Below are 19,185 nucleotides of genomic sequence, written 5' to 3' on the forward strand. Positions count from 1 at the left end.
CAATGATTTATCTGTCATTAATGCCACTGGTCACTGGCCCATGTTTCCAGTAGCAAGATTGAAAAGAGGAAGACGTATGTTACTGGGGGGTCTCTAATCCCTCACCTGGACTATTCTAAGGTAAATGGTATCTTATATTTTTTTTATTGTTTGGTTGGTTACTTGTTTATCTGATTTTTATGTTTGCTTTTTTTTTTTTTTCACAGTCCCTGAAACACTGGGAAAGATGCCTCTTAAATTACTGCTATTTTGCCCTACAACTGGTAGGGCTGGGTTCTGTAGCTGCATTTCTAGGTGCTAGCAAATAGGGAATAGGCAGCAAAGTACTCTTGGGCTGGACTTTAGGCAGTAGGATACGTCTGAGATGTCCTACTGTTGATCTGGGAAATAGAAAATGTAGTTCAAAAGTTTCCAAGTATCGGGCTTAATAAAGCCTAGGAGTCACTTATTATATGGTGAACAGGTCCCATGTCAACCATGGGAAAAACAAGGTAGTTTGGGATAACAAGATTACATGTCACAGATTTCTTTTCTCTCTATTTAAGAAAATAGGCTTTCTTCCTAACTCTGTGGCTATTGGTTGAAAATGGTTTTTCTGTCTTTAGTGCTAACTTACTAAGAAAAGAACTATGGGCACATTTAAATAGACATGCATATTTGTGGTAGATCCAGAAATACATTTGCTAAAGTTTGGACTTAAAAATACTAAATTATTCCAGAAAGGGCTGAAATTTTCTGAAAATGTCATAACTGTTTTGATGAAATAATGCCAATTATACAATGATTAGTAACTAAATTTTTTACATTGTTTCTTGAAAACTTGAATAACAAATATATGAGAAAATAGAATACCATAAGACAATACATTGTGTTGTGTTAACTGAGGCAAAGAAAGGACAAAAAGGCATATATTTTAAAAATCATTGTTGTTGGTACAAATGGAACATATATGAATAGGTATTGTGGAGATGGGAATCATGGTGCAATTTTCCTATTTTAACTCATTACTGACAAGCATTAAAATAATGTTTCGGCTGGCCGCGGTGGCTCACGCCTGTAATCCCAGCACTTTGGGAGACTGAGGCAGGCGGATCATGAGGTCAGGAGATCGAGATCATCCTGGCTAACACGGTGAAGCCCCGTCTCTACTAAAAAATAGAAAAAATTAGCCGGGCATTGTGGCGGGCGCCTGTAGTCCCAGAGGCTGAGGGAGCTGAGGTACTCGGGAGGCTGAGGCAGGAGAATGGCATGAACCCAGGAGGCAGAGCTTGCAGTGAGCCGAGATGGCGCCACTGCACTCCATCCTGGGTGACAGAGCGAGATTCTGTCTCAAAACAAACAAACGAAACAAAAACAAAATACTGTTTCATTATTCCCACATTCCAGAATGTTCTGTTTTAGCTATTACCCATAACAAGTAAAACTAGAACTAGACTGGGACCTGGGATACTTTGGTTCTGGTGCTAACTCAGGCACTAACTAGGTTGAAAGACCACTTAAACTTTCTGTATCTTATTTTCTCATCCATAAAATTACGTTTACAGTAGGTGAAGGTACCAAATGGATCAGTCTCAGATTTACCAACCCCCTGAATTTTTAATAAAAATATTTGCACATGTACATTTTTTCTGGAAAAAAAAGCCCATAATTTTACCTGATTCACAAAGAAGTTTATGATTTCCCAAAGGCAAAGAAAGCATAGCACTAGGTGCTTTCTATGGTTCCTTTTAACCCTGTATACATTACCAACTTTTATACACTTACTACACGAAACTCATGTGTTACATATCTGCACATTCATAAGAACGTACATATTTATGCAAATACATAAAGAACCCTGAAAATTTGGCTCTAATTACAGATCACTTTTCAAGGGTGGAAGCCATTTTAATGTAAGATGTTATTCTGAACTAGAAATGTTAGCATGTTTTGTCTGCGATTTCTATGAGCTCAGAGTCCCATTTGATAATACAAGATTTATGAAAATCAAAGATATGTTTGCCTACTAATAAAAATGAGTCATCTTAAGGAATTCTTCCATGGACCCAACAAATATTTATTAAATGCTTATTATTTGGCTGATATCATGCTAGGTACTAATTTTCTGTTATGATTATAATAGACATTTTCTACTTTCAGTCTAATAAGGTAGATGACTATTACTTAAATCTTTAATTAACTTTAATAAGATAGATAGAGATCCACAAATTATAGATTTGAAACTGTTCTGTTTTGAGAGCAGTAGGCTGTATTCTATTACATTTTTGCCCCCTTTGGATCTCATGTGCAAAGAACAGAATTGGAATCAACATGACCTTTAGTTTATGGCACATACTCATCATTATACATTTATCCGTGAGTTCCTTGGTTTTATTATTTTTATACACACACACACACACACACACACACACAGAGAGAGAGAAAGAGAGAGACAGACAGAGAGACAGAGAGAGAGAGTGACAGAAACAAATTGAAATCTCCCACTGAGACAAAAGCTGGGAACACAAGTAGCTAGGATCAAAACTATGTGCCACCCCTGTTCCCCAAACTCATTCCCTTGGCTCTCACAGATGAGTTAAATAGTAATGAAGGGATGAGAACCTAGAAACAGATTCCTATGTGGAGACTATGATGGATAGTAAGGAGACAGACTAGGAAAACTTCAGTACGCAATAAAGGTAAATATCTTTCAGACACTGGGGTAGGGAAAGATTTCTGAAGTGAGATACCCAAAAAGCATATTTTAAACAAGAGCAATGTGAGCATTTAAAATTGAGAATTTTATTCATGAAAGATACCTTGAAGACAAGTTACAAAGGAAGATAATATATTCACTATATAAACCACCCCAAAAAAACTACTAATAAGACTACATAAGAATATGTAAAAGCCCAAGTTAGTAGAAAAACACATGAAAGGATGTTTCACAGAAAAAGAAACACATATGGCCAAAAGGATATATTCAACAATCGACTGATCAAGTAAACACCAATGATAACTGCAATAAGACCCCATTGCATTGTACATTCCATTGGTGAAAATTTAAATGTCTCATATACAAGTGTTGGAGGTAATATGGATCCACAATTATACATTGTTTGACAGTGTATAAATTGGACTAATCAAGTTTGAAAACTGTTTGACATAGTCTCTTAAAGTTGAATATTCTTGGCCGGGCGCGGTGGCTCATGCCTGTAATCCCAGCACTTTGGGAGGCCGAGGCGGGCGGATTACCTGAGGTCAGGAGTTCGAGACTACCCTGGCCAACATGATGAAACCCCGTCTCTACTAAAAATACAAAAACTAGCTGGGCATGGTGGCACATGCCTGTAATTCCAGCTACTGGGGAGGCTAAGGTAGGAGAATTACTTGAGCCCAGGAGGCAGAGGTTGCAGTGAGTCGAGATCATGCCACTGCACTCCAGCCTAGCCAACAGAGAGAGACTCTGTCTCAAAAAAAAAAAAAAAAAGTTAAATATTCTTATACTTCATGACCCAGAAATTCCACATGTACACAAATACCCCAGAGAAGCCTTGGTCATCTAACCAGAGACACATGTATGTTAATAGTAGTACCAACCAAGATAGTGATAACCTGGAAATAACTCAAATGTCCATCTATAAGAGACAGTGATTTTATAAACTGTGATATCTTCACACAAAGGAATATTACACAGCAGCTAAAGCGAATGAACCACAACAATGCAAAAATTATGGAATCTTAGCAGCATTATAGTAAGTGAAAGAGAACATTCCCCAAATATTTCAACAGTATGGTTATCTCTTTATAACATTTTAAACAAATAAAATTAAAATAAATATATTTTAGGAAAAAATACTGCAATCAGACTATATACAAATAAAGCAAGGAAATAATGAAAAAAGCTGGGATCAGTTTTCAGCCCTAAATCTATATTTCCCTATGAGACAAAAAAAGGAAGAAAGGAAGGAAGAGAGGGAAGAAGAAAGGAAGAGAGTAAGCTAGTAATCGCCTTACATATATTTGAATTATGAATGATACTAAATTCATTTCTTTTTACATGCAAATTACCCCCAGGGAATAACAGCAAACTGGCTTAAAAATGTCTATTTGTAACTTAACATTCATTTTAGATGACTTGTACAAATGAACTTCTTTCTCTCCATTTTTGTTGGCAACATTCAAGCAAGAAAAGGTTAAATGACTTGTGCACTGGGAAGAAAAAAAAAAAAAACAGTTGTCATCCGTGGTGCCAAAAATAGAAGTTCTGATTTCCAGTCCTGTGATCTCAACAGAAGACAGAATGTTCACTCTATCTGACTGATACAAAATACAACTTCTCCAAGGACTCTATTATTTTGAACTACTGTGTAAGTACATGTAATTATAAGCTTCTGGAAATACGCACTGTTTATTTTATCATTTGTAATAGCAAATAGAAAGGCTTGGGCTGAGCATTTACCCAATAATGACACTAACAGCCTTCAGAGTCATTATAGATGATTTTTAAGGGTCTGTTTAGATATCCTTAAGATCACTGACCCATTAGTGCAATTATAGTTTAAGATGGTTCCTGTACTTGCTGCCAGAAAGTGACAAGTTGATGTTACAAACACTCTCTACACATCATTAAAAATGTGTCTTTACTCAGAGAAAGCTGCAGAAATAGAACTATAACTATACTTTAAAATTCTGTTCCCCATGGGTGATGTAGTCATTCTCTTTTTGTAATTCCTCTGATAAAATGATAAATTATATTCTCAGAAAATTGAATAAAACAAGTGTGTCTGGAGTTTGTTCCTGCTGGTGGGTTTGTGGTCTCGCTGACTTCAAGAATGAAGCCATGGACCTTTGCGGTGAGTGTGACAGCTCTTAAAGGTGGCACAGACCCAAAGAGTGAGCAGCAGCAAGATTTATTCTGAAGAGAGAAAGAACAATACTTCCACAGTACGGAAAGAGATCTGAGCGGGTTGCTGCTGTTGGCGGACGTGGCCAGCTTTTATTCCCTTATTTGTCCCCGCCCATGTCCTGCTGATTGGTCCATTTTACAGAGTGCTGATTGGTCCATTTTACAGTGTGCTGATTGGTCCATTTTACAGAGCACGGATTGGTCCATTTTACAAACCTCTAGCCACAGAGAGCTGATTGGTGAGTTTTTACAGAGTGCTGAATGGTGCATTTTACAAACCTCTAGCTAGTCACCCAGCACTGATTGGTGTGTTTTACAATCCTAGCTACAGAGCACTGATTGGTGCATTTTACAATCCTCTTGTAAGACAGAAAAGTTCTCCAAGTCCCCACACGATCCAAAAGTCCAGCTGGCTTCACCTCTCACAAGTACATTTATTCTGTAGTATTATTTTTATCAATTTAAAAATCTTCATAGTACTTGTCTTTCTTACCCCATTCACACAGTCTCACACAGTTACATATTCCAAGTATCCATACATGCTCAGCCTTTCATGTAGATGCAATCTATGTGAAGAAAAACATAGATTGCTTGCTATGTAACTATAGATTCACAGAACCGGAAGGATCACAGGAGACTGACTACCTAGTGGAGCAGTGTTTCTCAACTGATATTATAGACCTTATTAATTAGTCTTTATTTGGGGGTAGGAGGGGGTGGGATAGAGAGGAGATATCATGGACACTAGAAAATCTAATGAAGTTTGTGAAGTTATCCCAAGAAAAATCCACTCATGTGTGTAAATGTTCATATCATTTATTTATTTGTTTGCATTTGTCATTGAGTTATTTCACATTTTACAAATAATTATGTGACTCATTTTTCTTGTGAAAATTGATGACCTCTTTCTAAATAAAACATAAATGCAAATTACTAACCAAATCATATAAAAAAAGAAAACATATATTCTGCTTAAAATAGTTTTCAATGAGAAGGCTGTTTTATTTGGCTTAGTAAGAAGTTAAAATTTAGGCTACTCTGGAACACTTTGCCTATGGGATAGCCCTGCTGTGTCTATGGAGCAGCCCAAAAAAAAAAAAAAAAAAAAAAAAAAAGGAAGAAGTTAAAATTTAGACTGAGCCTTCCTTTATAGGAAAATATCGGTGTTATTTTTAGTATCCAAACAATTTTTCATCTGTTTTAATAGCACTATGTGCTCAAAGTTGCAGCTCACACAGCTTTCAGTATCAAACAGAATTAAATTCCCTATCAGTCGGAGCAGAGCAGACGTTTATCAAGACACCTGAGCTTTCTCCAAGCTACTTCAGGGTGAATTCAGGTTCTATGAAACCCTTTGTCCTCAAGTCAAATGAAATTATTTTTGGAAAGCTTAGTGTCAACAATGCAGCCTTAGTCAGCAAGGGAAGATGTTTGAATGCTTTCAATTTTATGTAGTCTAAGCAGAAATAACCTTTAAAAGAGTTTTGTAGTCTTTACAGATGTTTGTAGATCTTCTCCATGGATAAACTGACATGTCTTTCTCATTTTCAACTCCCTTGCCCTCACTAAAGTCTTTCTTTCAGCACTTTCATGTCAATGGAAAGGTCACAAGATTTTACCTGTAATTTCTTCCTCCAAAATGACAGTTGTTTCCAGAGCCACCCTACTAGACCAGAAAATCTGAAATTGAAAGACTAGCCTCATTTTTTTTTGACCTAACATCTACAAAGAAGTCCATCCATGAATAAACCTCTCTTGTCAAATTGTTTTAAGATTCAGCTCTCTTTTACTTAAAAAATAGATAAAATGAAATTTCTGACCCAAGTTCAGCCAAGTGCATTAACACTTATTCATTGGAAAGCCAAAAAACTTCTGATAGTAAAAATAATACATTTTGCTTCATTCCCAAATAAAAACTTTTGAAACTCTAGATTTCTGGCTATGTCTGTGAAATTATTTTAACAGAGCAGGCAAAGCATCTTTTTAGAATAATTATCAGTGTCTTTCACACGAATGCATGCTGATGGTGAGGGCAATATGTCTCTATGAAAAGTGGAACCTCTGTCTTCACCAGATTAATTACGCTGGATCTTGCATAAAGAAACTCCATATGTACTCCATATGTACTTGCAGTATCAAGATTTTTGTTCCATTAGGAGTTTTGCTTGATAAACTCTGTTGGGAGGAGGCAACGCACACACACACACACACACACACATACACACACACAGACACACACACACACATCGACATTCAGGTGAGAGATAAAAATCAGAGTTTTACTGAAACAATCATAGTTTTCACTCAGTTGCATGCCAAATGGGAATGCCACAGCTGTTATTTTCACTATAACTGGCTTTGAAATATTGGCAAAATACCAGAGTTCAAGAGTAGGTTCTATCAAGTGAACAGAGGTGCTATTAATTTTTTTTATTCTAATCAACCAACCAGCTCAAGCATTTCTAGAGTACTTGAAATGATAAAGCTTTCTCCAGTTATTTATGGTTTCTTTTGATTGGAAACATGTCAAAAGTTTCATGTTAGTGCAAATATAAGTTTTGGTAAATTTCCATCCTTTTAAAATTGAACTTCTTCTCCAGGGGAAAAAAATCTATATTGTGTGATTTATTTTCAGGATGCTCAGAAATAAGCTTTCTTGACTTCATCCTATCATTGGCAGGAAACTTATCACACAAGAAACAGTCTGGCTTTTGTGTCCCATCACATTTAGCAATGCAAATAAAATCAAAGGAAATGTAGGAGCCATCAGCTTTCTTTTCTCTGACATTTGCCAACTTAAGCTAAGTTTAATGTGAACAGAAAGAGATATGCACAAACATAATGTCAGATGCATTTTCATTAATTCTGATGAATGCAATGCCATTCCAGATGTCATTGTGCAAGGATAGTAACTTTGTGTGAAAAAATACATGCTACTCTGTCCATGTTTAAAGGAAAACATTAAAATATTTTAAAACAATAAAAATATTAAAACATTAAATACATTAAAAAAATATTTTACCATGAACAATTTTTTGCACAAAAAGCAAAGAAAACAAAATAAAGCTAAGTTATATATATATATATATGTACACACACATATATATATGTTTGCTCTTACTTAACCTACAACATAAAGTCTGTATATGATCTTTAACTAAAATATCCCTTTTATAACGTGATCTGAAATACAGCATCTAATCTCTGCTGTTGTTATATAGGAAGTTTCCTGTATTACAAATGAGCCCATTTGTAATAGTTGGGTATTTCTAGTTATCCTTGGTTATCTGGTTATCCTTGGTTATTCTTCCATTTTTCATCCAGTGTTCTGGCATGGTTAATTCTCTTGCCATTTATCCCATCAACTATTGGGTGGTAAATCTTATGTTACACATTACTTTTCTCTTTATGTGGCTGAATATCACCAAGTTCTTAACTTCTTGTCATCTAACAAGGTATCCAGATCTCTTTCTATGCTGGTTGCCTTTTTCTACAACCACTACAATGTGTTAACATCTATCTGAAAATTTGGAGCCATCCATTTAAAAATATTGCATTTTTTGAATGATCAAGAACTACATACATAGGTACATATTTTATTGAATATATAGGAGTGAAATTATATAAAGAAATGCAATGCTAATGGTTTCTCTAAATATTCTTTTGGATTTTTACATATACGATCATATCATCTGTGAGTAATAACAGTACTATCATTTTTCTTTCATTCTTTTTTTTTTTTTTTGAGACGGAGTCTCGCTCTGTCGCCCAGGCTGGAGTGCAGTGGCGGGATCTCGGCTCACTGCAAGCTCCGCCTCCCGGGTTCACGCCATTCTCCTGCCTCAGCCTCCCAAGTAGCTGGGACTACAGGCGCCCGCCACTACGCCCGGCTAATTTTTTGTATTTTTAGTAGAGACGGGGTTTCACCGTTTTAGCCGGGATGGTCTCGATCTCCTGACCTCGTGATCCGCCCGCCTCGGCCTCCCAAAGTGCTGGGATTACAGGCGTGAGCCACCGCGCCCGGCCTTTTCTTTCATTCTAATACTTACACCTATTTTATGTTTTTCTTGACTTATTTTAGTAGCTAGGCCATTCAGAATAATAGTCAATGACAATGGTGATTCTTAACTATTATTTCTAATTTTAGCTTTTTATCACTTAATCCATCAAAATTTTTACAATAGCTACAATTTCTTAATCGTCAACTCTTTAAGCTAGGCACTGTATTAGTCAAGGTATGTAATCTGCTATCTCATTTTATTTAATCTTTCTGACAATCCTATGTAGTTATTATTGTCTTATTTTATCTTAAAAAAGAGAATAAGCAAAACCAAGATCACAGAAATTAAGTAACTTGGCACTAGATTACAAAATGATGTGGTCAAGCAAGGATGTGAATCCAGATTTGTCACCATCCATTGCCAATATTCTTTCTGCACTTTTCCATTATATTACAATAAGCTATGATTCAGTATCAGCTTTACTTCCCTCCCTCCCTCCTTCCTTCTTTCCTTCTTTCTTCTCTCTCTTTCTGTTTTTCTCTTCTTTTTCCTTCTTCTGTTTTTCTTCCCTACCTCTCTCCTTCTCATCCTTCACTCGCTCCCATTCTTTCTTCCTCCAATTCCTCTTTCTCCTATTATCCTTATTTTATCTCATATTGTCACTAATGAGCCAAGTATGTATTTTCTTAGGGTAATTCTGAATCTAAGTTGTATCACCCAACCAAGCATTGACTCTCTCATAAAGCTGATTAAGTTTTCCTTCTATGTTTTCATCCACACAGTAGATTAAGACATTAATAGGCATTAATTTGAAAAGCATCAAGAACAAAAACTTGTGTCGTAATGCTACTTCTCATATGGTTGTGAAATTAGGGTGCAATAGCTCAATTTATTTTAATTATTGATGGTGGGATAATGAATATAAATATACCAGTCTTGTGTGTTTTCTTCGATTCAGCTTATGGAAACCACCATGTCTCTTCCTATCTGTTATTCATTCCCTAACCTATCAAAACACCATACTTAGGGATACTGTGGGATCCTACTCTTTAATAATGATAAAATCCATTGATTGTGTAATTATTGGCTACCACACACTGTACTAGGTAGCTGCACATACATGATATTTAATTAGCAGGATCAGTGCAAGACTGGTGGTATTAGTCCATTATTTTAAACTAAAAAATACAATTTTAGAGAAGGGAAAAATAGGTAGCCAAGTTGGGATTCAAACTTTGGTCAATTTGACCACAACACTACTCTATGAACTTAGCTTCTGTCTCTGATCTGACAGAATGTCTCACGGTGACCTTTCCCACATAGCCCTCTTGGGAGGCATTGTGGTGAAAATTCCCATTCCCTTCAAAAAATAATTCTCACTGGGGACCAGGAGCACTTGAACAGTAGACGGATAAACTCCAAATAGTTCTCCTATCTTGATTATATCTTTAAGTTCATAAGACAAAAAAATCTCTTTATAAAGATAATAATGAAAGTAGGAGAAAATGAGAGATAATCAAGAAGCAAATAAAATTTGTGACCTAAGTTTCTCAAAATTTTAAAAATTGTGAACCGTCTAATGGCTATAGGTACTTATATTGGTTACAAATTTCATATAAGTTTTCAAAGATGTATCACAGTTTATACAACATAGTTTTAAAACATTTTGTTTTACAGCAATTAAAGGATTGATACTGCTTATAACCTTTTGCCAAAGTAGATTTGGTTTGATCATTGTGTATCAATGTGTGTCAGGAGAGCCTGGGTAATGCTGATGTACAATAATCTCTAAGTCTTGGAGATTTAGAGTAACAAAGATTTATTTCTTGCTCAGACTACATGTTCATAAAAGGTTATCTAGAGTCTCTATTTTTTATTTTCTCGTTCTTAAACCAGACTGATTGATAATTTATCATATAAAACATTACTAGTCGTCTAGCAAAAGGAAGAGAACATGGCAAATCATTTACTTATTCATAGGCTCCCATGAAGAAGTGGAACATATAGCTTCTTCCACTCACATGTGATTGGCTAAAGCAGTTATCATAACCATAGATAGCTTTAGATAGGACGGAGAAATTCAACTGTAGCATGCACAAAGAAGTAGAGAACTGACCCAGTTTTGAAATCCTATTATCACAAAATGACAGTCATTCCATATAGGGTTGATTTATTTTCTTATTCTATACTTCTACTACTTTAGAAAATACTAACATTCAATTTGGTGATTAGCCAAAGAAGGCAGTTCTTGGTGATTATGACATTGTGTTCTGCGTTTTTGCTTCAAACCTGCAAATAGCAGTTATAAATGTGAGAGTAAGTCCTTACAACAGACCACTGTTAGCAGCACATCATCCTCCAGGTCAATGAGCACATCATCCTGAAAAGCAGGAGCATGAATATTTTACAACTTGGAAGATGATGATAGTACATAGATTTTTAATTTTTTTATTACTTTGGTTGCCACAAGAATTCCTTTGTACTCTGTATTCTTTGTATTGTTTGTATTAGATGTCTCCTTAAAATATGATCACTTATACATTTATTGATTTCTTTCTCTGAGGTGCAAAGAACATGAAGTTTTGGGGCAAAGTCTAATTCTTGACAATTGAGCTATTTGCACTGCAATTCAGTTGTCTTCGGGAATTCTCTTATTAAAAAATCAACATTTCATAATCATCATATTTCAACTCTATTAATAAGTTTAGGCTAATCTAGCTAATTAATACAGCATGAAGCTAAAGCTTGAAGTCACTTGAAATCAGGGAAATGATCTTTACTGAGAATATCGGTACCATAAAATATTTATTTCATCTCTCATTCAAAAACTTGTGTAAATGTGCTCTTATCAGCCAGCACATCTCATTATAGAAAAGTAGTATCATGTGTCAGCCCATTTCTCTGCCATGTTCTTTAAAATCACTTGCACTGATTAGATGCAATTTAAATATTGATCAGGGGTCTTTAGAGATCCTTCAGCAATAAAACATGACTAAGAAAAGTGTTGCTTACCACTATCTGTATTCTGTGAATGAAGATGTGTGAGGATTTGCATTCAAGTGTAAGTTATTTCTTGATAGAGGAATGCCTTTCTTAGTTGTGTATGTAGATGGTCTTCATTCAGTACTGATCTCAGCATATATTTTCATGCTTTCTTACAGGTTATAGAAAAAAATAGTTAAGGGAGCTTCAAATCTCTTTTAAGGCCATCTATTTCTAGTTAAAAAAATAAAATTTTATCAAACTATTCTCTTCATACAGGTGCTGCACATATGCCAGGAGCTGATTCAGTGGTTTCATCCAAATGTAAAGCAAAATATGGAATTATTTCAACATATAATAATAACTACTGTTACACTTATGTAAGGCAATAAAAATATTTTTGGCAAAAGCTTGTCCTGCTTTCTTTTTTGAGCATAATTTATGTTTTACAATCTTGTTGGCAAAAGTGTGACCTATGTCTGTTTTTGTTCTGGTGAGTGCAACTAAGAATGATGCCACTGTCATTTTTGTTCTTTTCTCTGTTTTGCATGACAACATTAATAACTTTCACAAGGAAAAGTATTAACTAGCAAATATTTCTGAAAAACTCAGATAACCACAAAGATTCTGAGCATTATTTGAATAAAAAACTAAAACTTCAAAGTTTTTTTTTTTTGCCAGTATTACAATCAGTACCCAAGACACCAGAAGAGGAAGTATTCTAGGCTCACTATAATGCAACTTCGAGACATTTATTATCATACTTTATAGCTGCAATTTTCTTTACTGGCATTTGGTTTCACCTGCCTGGCAACATGCATTCATATTTTATATTTTAATTGAAGACCTTTTCACTAGAAAGATTCATAATATTATTCAGAATTGTTGTTTATATATTGCTACTATTATTATTTCCCACAGTAAATGTAAATCAACACAATAAGAATAATAAAGAAATTCCAAACTTAGCAAATATAAACCATAACATATGAATGGCATAAAATGTTAGCCAAGATGAAGTAATCTTTTACACTTCCTGTATAACGTGCATTGCCTTTAAGAACAAAATTATTACTAAGGACTTTACTGTGAATATAAAATTAATCTTACTAGTTCAAATTTATAAAAATGTAAGGTAGATAAATTACATCATCTGCTTTCCCTGTGAAAATGTCAAACTGTCTATGGATCAGTTATAGACTTCTATGGACTACCAATGACACACATACCCACTTTACCATAGGAAGAGTTTGTTAGATGTATTTATAATGCCTATACAAAGCCCTCATATTTATTTTCCATTTTAATTTCATTCTCATTTTCCTTAGCAAATTCTAAAATAAAAAAGGCTGGTGTGTTTATTTGAACAGATATCCATAACACATTTACATTTCCAGACCCAACTTCTCCCCCAGCCTTCAGACTTAGATGCCTGTTAGACATCTCTGCTTGGATATCTCAAAAGCATCATCAACTTACTATGTCCGTAACAGAGCTCCTGGATAGTCTTCTGCAAAACTAGTCCACCTTATTATAACATCATTCATTCAATTGTTCAAGCCCAAACCTAAGATTCAATAGAGTCTTCTTTCTTTGACATCCCATATCACCATCTAGTTCATTAATAATTTCTGTTGATTTTGCTCTCAAAAATATATATCTGGAATCAGACAGCTTCCCATTTCACAGTGCTGCCACCTTTGTCCAAGTTGCTATCATCTTATCTGTCACTCAATCTACTCACTACTTTTTCACTAGTCTCTCTTTGTTTCTACTTTTGTACTCACACTTGTAGTCTCATCACAGCATCCAAACACACATTTTCAAAAGAAAATAAAATCAGGTCAGAACTCTCCAGAGGCTTCCTACCATGCTTAGAAGGAAATCCAATGTTCTTACTACATGGCCTGCCAGGCCTATGTGTTCTGCTCTCCAGCTACCTCTATGGAGCCTACCTTGCTTATTCTACTGCACACACATTAGCTTTCGGTTTTTGCACTTGTGATTTCTTCTGCCTGGAACACTATGACCCCTGATATTTCTGTGACTGTTCCATTACTTAATTAGCTTTTATTGCTGATCATATTAAATAATAGAGCTTCAACATGACCCCTCTAATCCTGCTTTATTTCTCTCCAGTCTTGTCACTCTGATATTGTATTGTATATTTATTTATCATAGTTTTCTCCCACTAGACTGTGAGTTCCATGGTGGTAGAGACTTTGAATTCATCATAAGCCACATACTCAATGAGCAGAGGTATATATTTGATGTATCCTATCCTGTGGTTACTTCTGTGGAAAGCAGAATTCTAAGGCATAGAAGAGATGGTAGAATCTCTAAAAAGGAAAAAAAATTGGTCATCAAATTTCGGGGGAATGGCACTCTGTGAAGGAAGAAAACAGAGTATGCGAAATTTGGCCTTGGTCTACAGAGTGAGCACAGGAGTGACAACCATAATCAAGAGGACGCTCATGCAGTTTTGAGATATTTTATACCTTTCCCACTGAGGGGAAGCTAATGCCAAAGAATCCGTATGCTGAGAAATTTCCTTACAGCCTTCAATCAAATTCATAGGTTAAAACTTAGAGACGTTATTATGGTTATGTACTTAGGTTGTGTGCAATATTAACAAAAATTAAATAGTGAACACTTCACCTGATAAATATTTAGCACAAGCACAGCATAAGTCAACACATTCCAGCAAAGGTCAAATTTTACATGTATTGCATAGGCACCAGTTTAAATCTGTAGTGAGAAGTTTTGTATGTCTTTATCTTGGTCTTTCCTGCCTAGCGACTAAACTAGTATTGTTGAGGCAAAAGAATATACATTAGCCACAAGAAGAGTTGTAAAGAGAAAGGTGGAGTAACACAAGCATTCATTGGAGGTGCCTGCTCTACGCTACAATAAACTCTGTAGGTAGCCATTGGTTTCAACTGACTTTGGAGGGAATAACAGGAGGTAATTCATCACTGAGGATTTTGGCAGGGTAAATGGATTTATGGACTTTAGGTTCTAACTAATGAATTATTACCTGGTTCCTGACGGGGAAGGAGTAATGGGTTACCAAGTAAAACAATATAGCTTGTAGATCTCAAGTGGCTTCTTTTGTAACCAATTAAATTCATTAGTTGAATGGTCCATCCCACCACAAGTCAATACAAAATTCAAATAGTCATTTCAACATACTTGTTTCACCTTAGTCTTCTTGAAACCATTAGTCAAGAAAGGATTACAATGTAGATTTGCTAGAAAGGCATACCAGCCTATCTGTATATTTTCCATTGCCTTAGACAGTAATGTTTAGTCAGTAGGAGGTTACTACTTCAGATTTACCTGGGAGAGAATTAGTTAGATGTTCTTTTTAGACAAACTCAGCCCCCATTAATGATAACTATTTCTACCTGAATTTCTAGGTGGCTTCATGTGACCACTAAATAGCATAGACTACATGCAACAGTCACCTGCTAGGCAGTCCCTTCATTGGTACCAGAAGATCAACATTTGGTTTTATATGAATGTATAAATCCTGGCTGGATCTAATTTAGCAGGCTAAATTATATTTTATCATCTGTCCAAGTAGCTAAAAACAGAAAATTAAAATGTAGTTCCAATCTTAACAATTTCAACTGTTTGTGTAGAGAAGACATGTTTTCTATGAAGAAGACATATGGCTGAATTTAGTTATTAAAATTTTAGTGCCATACCTCTCGAATAGCTGTACAAAACTCACTCTGAAGCACTTTTTTGAGGGATTGTAGCTTGTGCACTGGTACTTCTCCAGATTCCTGTAGTTTTTCCAGTAATTCAATTGCTCTTGCAACATCTGAATGAAAAAAAATGAAAATAGAGAAACCTAGAATAAATTGTATCTCATCAGCTGAAAGTACTATTATTCCAGTTGGATGATGACATTGAAAAGCAAGTGGACTTAAATTGCATAATCAGAACTTATATTCATAGCTTTTTGGTCTCATCTTTTGGTAAAAAGTCATTTTAATTTGTTCCACACATCTGTCACTTCATACATTTTCTTTGATGGGATTTCATGTAATTTGTGTCATACAAATGAATTTGAATATTATGTCAGTAAAGAGTTGGACACATGTCTATTATTTATTCTGATACTCCAATAACGAAACTAATTCATCAATTTTGCCTCTGAGGTGCTTCCTTTCAGTTCAACTTTTCCTTTCCCATTTCAGTTTGTCATAGCTACAACGTTACATGTATTACTATGATTAATGGATTGCTGTGTATCTCCGCAGTTTGCCTATAAACTTCTTGAGGGTGGGAACTTCTCTGGTTTGGTTACCATTGTATCCTCAGGGTATGGTATATTGTAGTGATTAAAATTAATGCACTTTTTCCATTTCACTGCCATTGCATTATTTCAGGCCCTCGTCATCTCCCCTCTGTCCAATTGGAATTGTTTCTTCTCCTCCAGCCTCTTCAAATGGTCCACAAAGTTATTTTCCTAAAATAAATTCTGATCATGTGCCCATCTACCAGCCTTTAGAACAGTACTAAGCAAGAGTTTTCAATAACAATTATTTTAAATGCTTCTCTTTCACTTAACAATATCAAAGGTTAATGTATCAAGAAACATGTAGTCTTTTATAGACATAAAATTTAAAATTCCCTGGATTATTTCATATTGCCAAGAGAAAATAATTCAATAAAGAGTCATTTAAAAATACTTATGGGTGATCTCTTCTACCCTTGTCACTACAGTAAATAACTCACTGAAAAGCCACTTAGGCATTTATGTTATAGGACATGAGGTTTTCGATTCCTAAGTGCCTAGCTCCAGAAAGCATCCCACATCCCTGCCATCAGCTTATAAATTTATCCATTCACTCATCCATCCAGTATTTTGAGTTTCTGTTATTAATGCTTGGTGCCAGCTTAACAAGAGTATGATACTCCCTTTCAAAGCTCGCAATCTAATGAGAAAGAAATATAATAGCACAGCCACCTTCAATAAAATTGTTAGCACCTCAGAATCTGGGTGGGGTTAGCATAGGTGTAAGTATCTAACTGAATAAAATAACAAAAAGTGACTTTGATGGGGACTGTCTTTGAAGTAGTCATTTTGACTGCCAATCGTGGGCCAAAGTAGCACAAATCATTAAATCAATGTGACACTGCCAGTTTCCAAAGTCTGTCTTTTAGTACATAAACAGGAAGTCTACATAGTCAACTGGACAAAACCAGACACTTCCGTAATCAATAAGGTACCAAGCTGAGATTTTATGCATTTCTAACTGCAAAAGATACTCTACCTAGGCTGCAGTAAGCCATGATTGCACTACTGGACTCCAGCCTAGGAGACAGAGTGAGACCCTATCTCTAAAACAACAACAGAGACAAAAATTCTACCTAGATGCCCATGGATGCATGGAACTCTCAGAGCTCATTTTTTTTCCCCCTAAAACTCGCTCTTCTTTTCCTTTGTTCCATATTTCTAAAAATTTCTCCCCCCAAACAAGCCATCCTCTCAAGCAAAACTATGGTGTTTTTCACACTCCCCTTGCATACAGATAGTCGGCAAGTGCGGTAGATTCTATCTTGGAATTGCCTTTTGTAAAGAGCCCTATCACTCTCATGGAAGTCTTCATCATTTCTCACTTGCAGTACTGGAACATCTCCTAACTGATCTCCTTTAAATTAGTCTTCTTTTTTCAGTCCATCTGCCACATTGCTTCCATAGTAATTATCCTGAGTGGTAAACCTAATTATTATTCTCCTGCACATCAAACCTTCCCTGGCTTCCCATTCCCTACAGAGTAAAGTTCAGAGCACTTAGGGTTACATATAAGGCCCTTAACGGCCGACTTCTTCTCGCTCATCTCAGAACACCTCCTCCTGTCCATCCTATAGTGGGGCCATCCCAAATTTTTGCTATTTCTAAGACATGCCACAGAATTCCACACCTATGTTTTGGCACATGTCATCACCTGTTCCTGAAATGCAATTCATTCATTTATGCAGTAGTGCTAGCCCTGGGCTGTGCACAGGAGACAGTGGTGAAGGAGATAGCCCCTTTCTCTTGCTTTCACGGAACTCACAGGCTTGAGGGGCAGGGGTCACAGACATGCAATAAAGTGGGTGTGTTCTATAAATGAAGCACTACAGGATTGTCCATGGATGTATAACAAAGACATTTATCATCATCAAAGAAGTCAGGGAGGATCTATTTGTGGAAATAACTGCTAAGCAGAGTCCTAGGTAGGAGGTGTAAGTGGAGAAGGAGGGAAGAATGTTCAAGACAAAGGGAATAAATGCAGATCAAAGGCTTGTTAAGAGAGTGTGGGATATTCAAAGAAATAAAAGGCGTTTATTATAGCTGAAGCTGAAAACAGGGTGAGAGTAGCAAGAGATGAGTGGCAAGAGATGAGGTAGACAGAAATCACATCATGGTGGGTGTTTAAGGCCATATAAGGGCAGACTTGGCTTAAAAACCATCTCCTCAACAATGTCTTCCCTGACTCTCTGAAGCAGCTTCAGTTGCTATCATGTCTGCATTTCCATAGTTCTTTGTTCACTCATCTATTATAATAATTACTACCCTCTGTTTGCACGTACATCTCCCTCCTTTATCTCTGTGAATGTATACAATTCTTCAGATGTCAGAAACAAAATATCTCATTCATTGCATCCACAGAATTCCACATCCCTGTGTCTTGGCACATATCATCCCATGTTCCTAAAATGCAGAATACCTAACAAATATCAAGTGTTCAATGCATATTCGTTGAATGAATGAGGGATTAATTGATGAGACTGGCTCAGGAAGGCAGGTGTTAGAGGTCTATGTCTGTGTGAACCTGTAACTTCTCATGAATCTAGAACTCCAGATTATTATCAGCCTTGGTTAAGCCTTGCTTGGATCTGGACTAGGAGAAAAAGGCAAGCCTAAATCTGCAGGCTGAAGAGAATTAGAGACTACACTGGGTGAAGTCCAGCAAAATTGAAAATGATACTATCCTGAATATTTTTAGTAGTTCTCAACCTGGGCTGTGCATTGAAATTATCTAGGGTGCATTTAGAAGTTATTAATGCCTGAGACCTATGACAAACAAATTAAACCAGAATCTCCAGAACAGTGGTTTTCAACCTTAACTGCACATTAAAATCAACCAGAGAGGCTTTAAAAAAACACAAATGCCTAGGTCGGTCCCACCTGGAGAATTTCTGATGTGATTGGCACAGAGTGGGGGGCTGGGCATGGGGCTTTTTAAAGCCCTTCAGGCGATGCTAAAGTGCAGCCAAGGTTGAGACCACTGCTCTAGTTTGCATGGGTAATTT

General features: G+C 36.0%; 1 protein-coding gene across 5 annotated transcripts in view; it reads right to left on the reverse strand.

Moving 5' to 3' along the window:
- The window catches only part of LIN7A (lin-7 cell polarity scaffold A), a 145,415-nt gene that overhangs the window by 81,150 nt on the left and 45,080 nt on the right, over positions 1 to 19,185 (reverse strand). For 3 of the 5 annotated variants that reach the window (NR_136888.3, XM_011538928.4, NM_004664.4), the window contains exon 2: positions 15,582 to 15,700. The exons of the other annotated variants lie outside the window; for them this stretch is intronic. Coding sequence is in view for 2 of the 3 variants with exons in the window: in XM_011538928.4 (XP_011537230.3) it covers positions 15,582 to 15,700 (119 nt within the window). In the remaining variant the exon portion in view is untranslated. The remainder of the gene's footprint in view (positions 1 to 15,581; positions 15,701 to 19,185) is intronic. 5 annotated transcript variants of the gene reach the window in all.

Source organism: Homo sapiens, chromosome 12, assembly GCF_000001405.40.
Source record: "Homo sapiens chromosome 12, GRCh38.p14 Primary Assembly".
Lineage (NCBI taxonomy): Eukaryota > Metazoa > Chordata > Mammalia > Primates > Hominidae > Homo > Homo sapiens.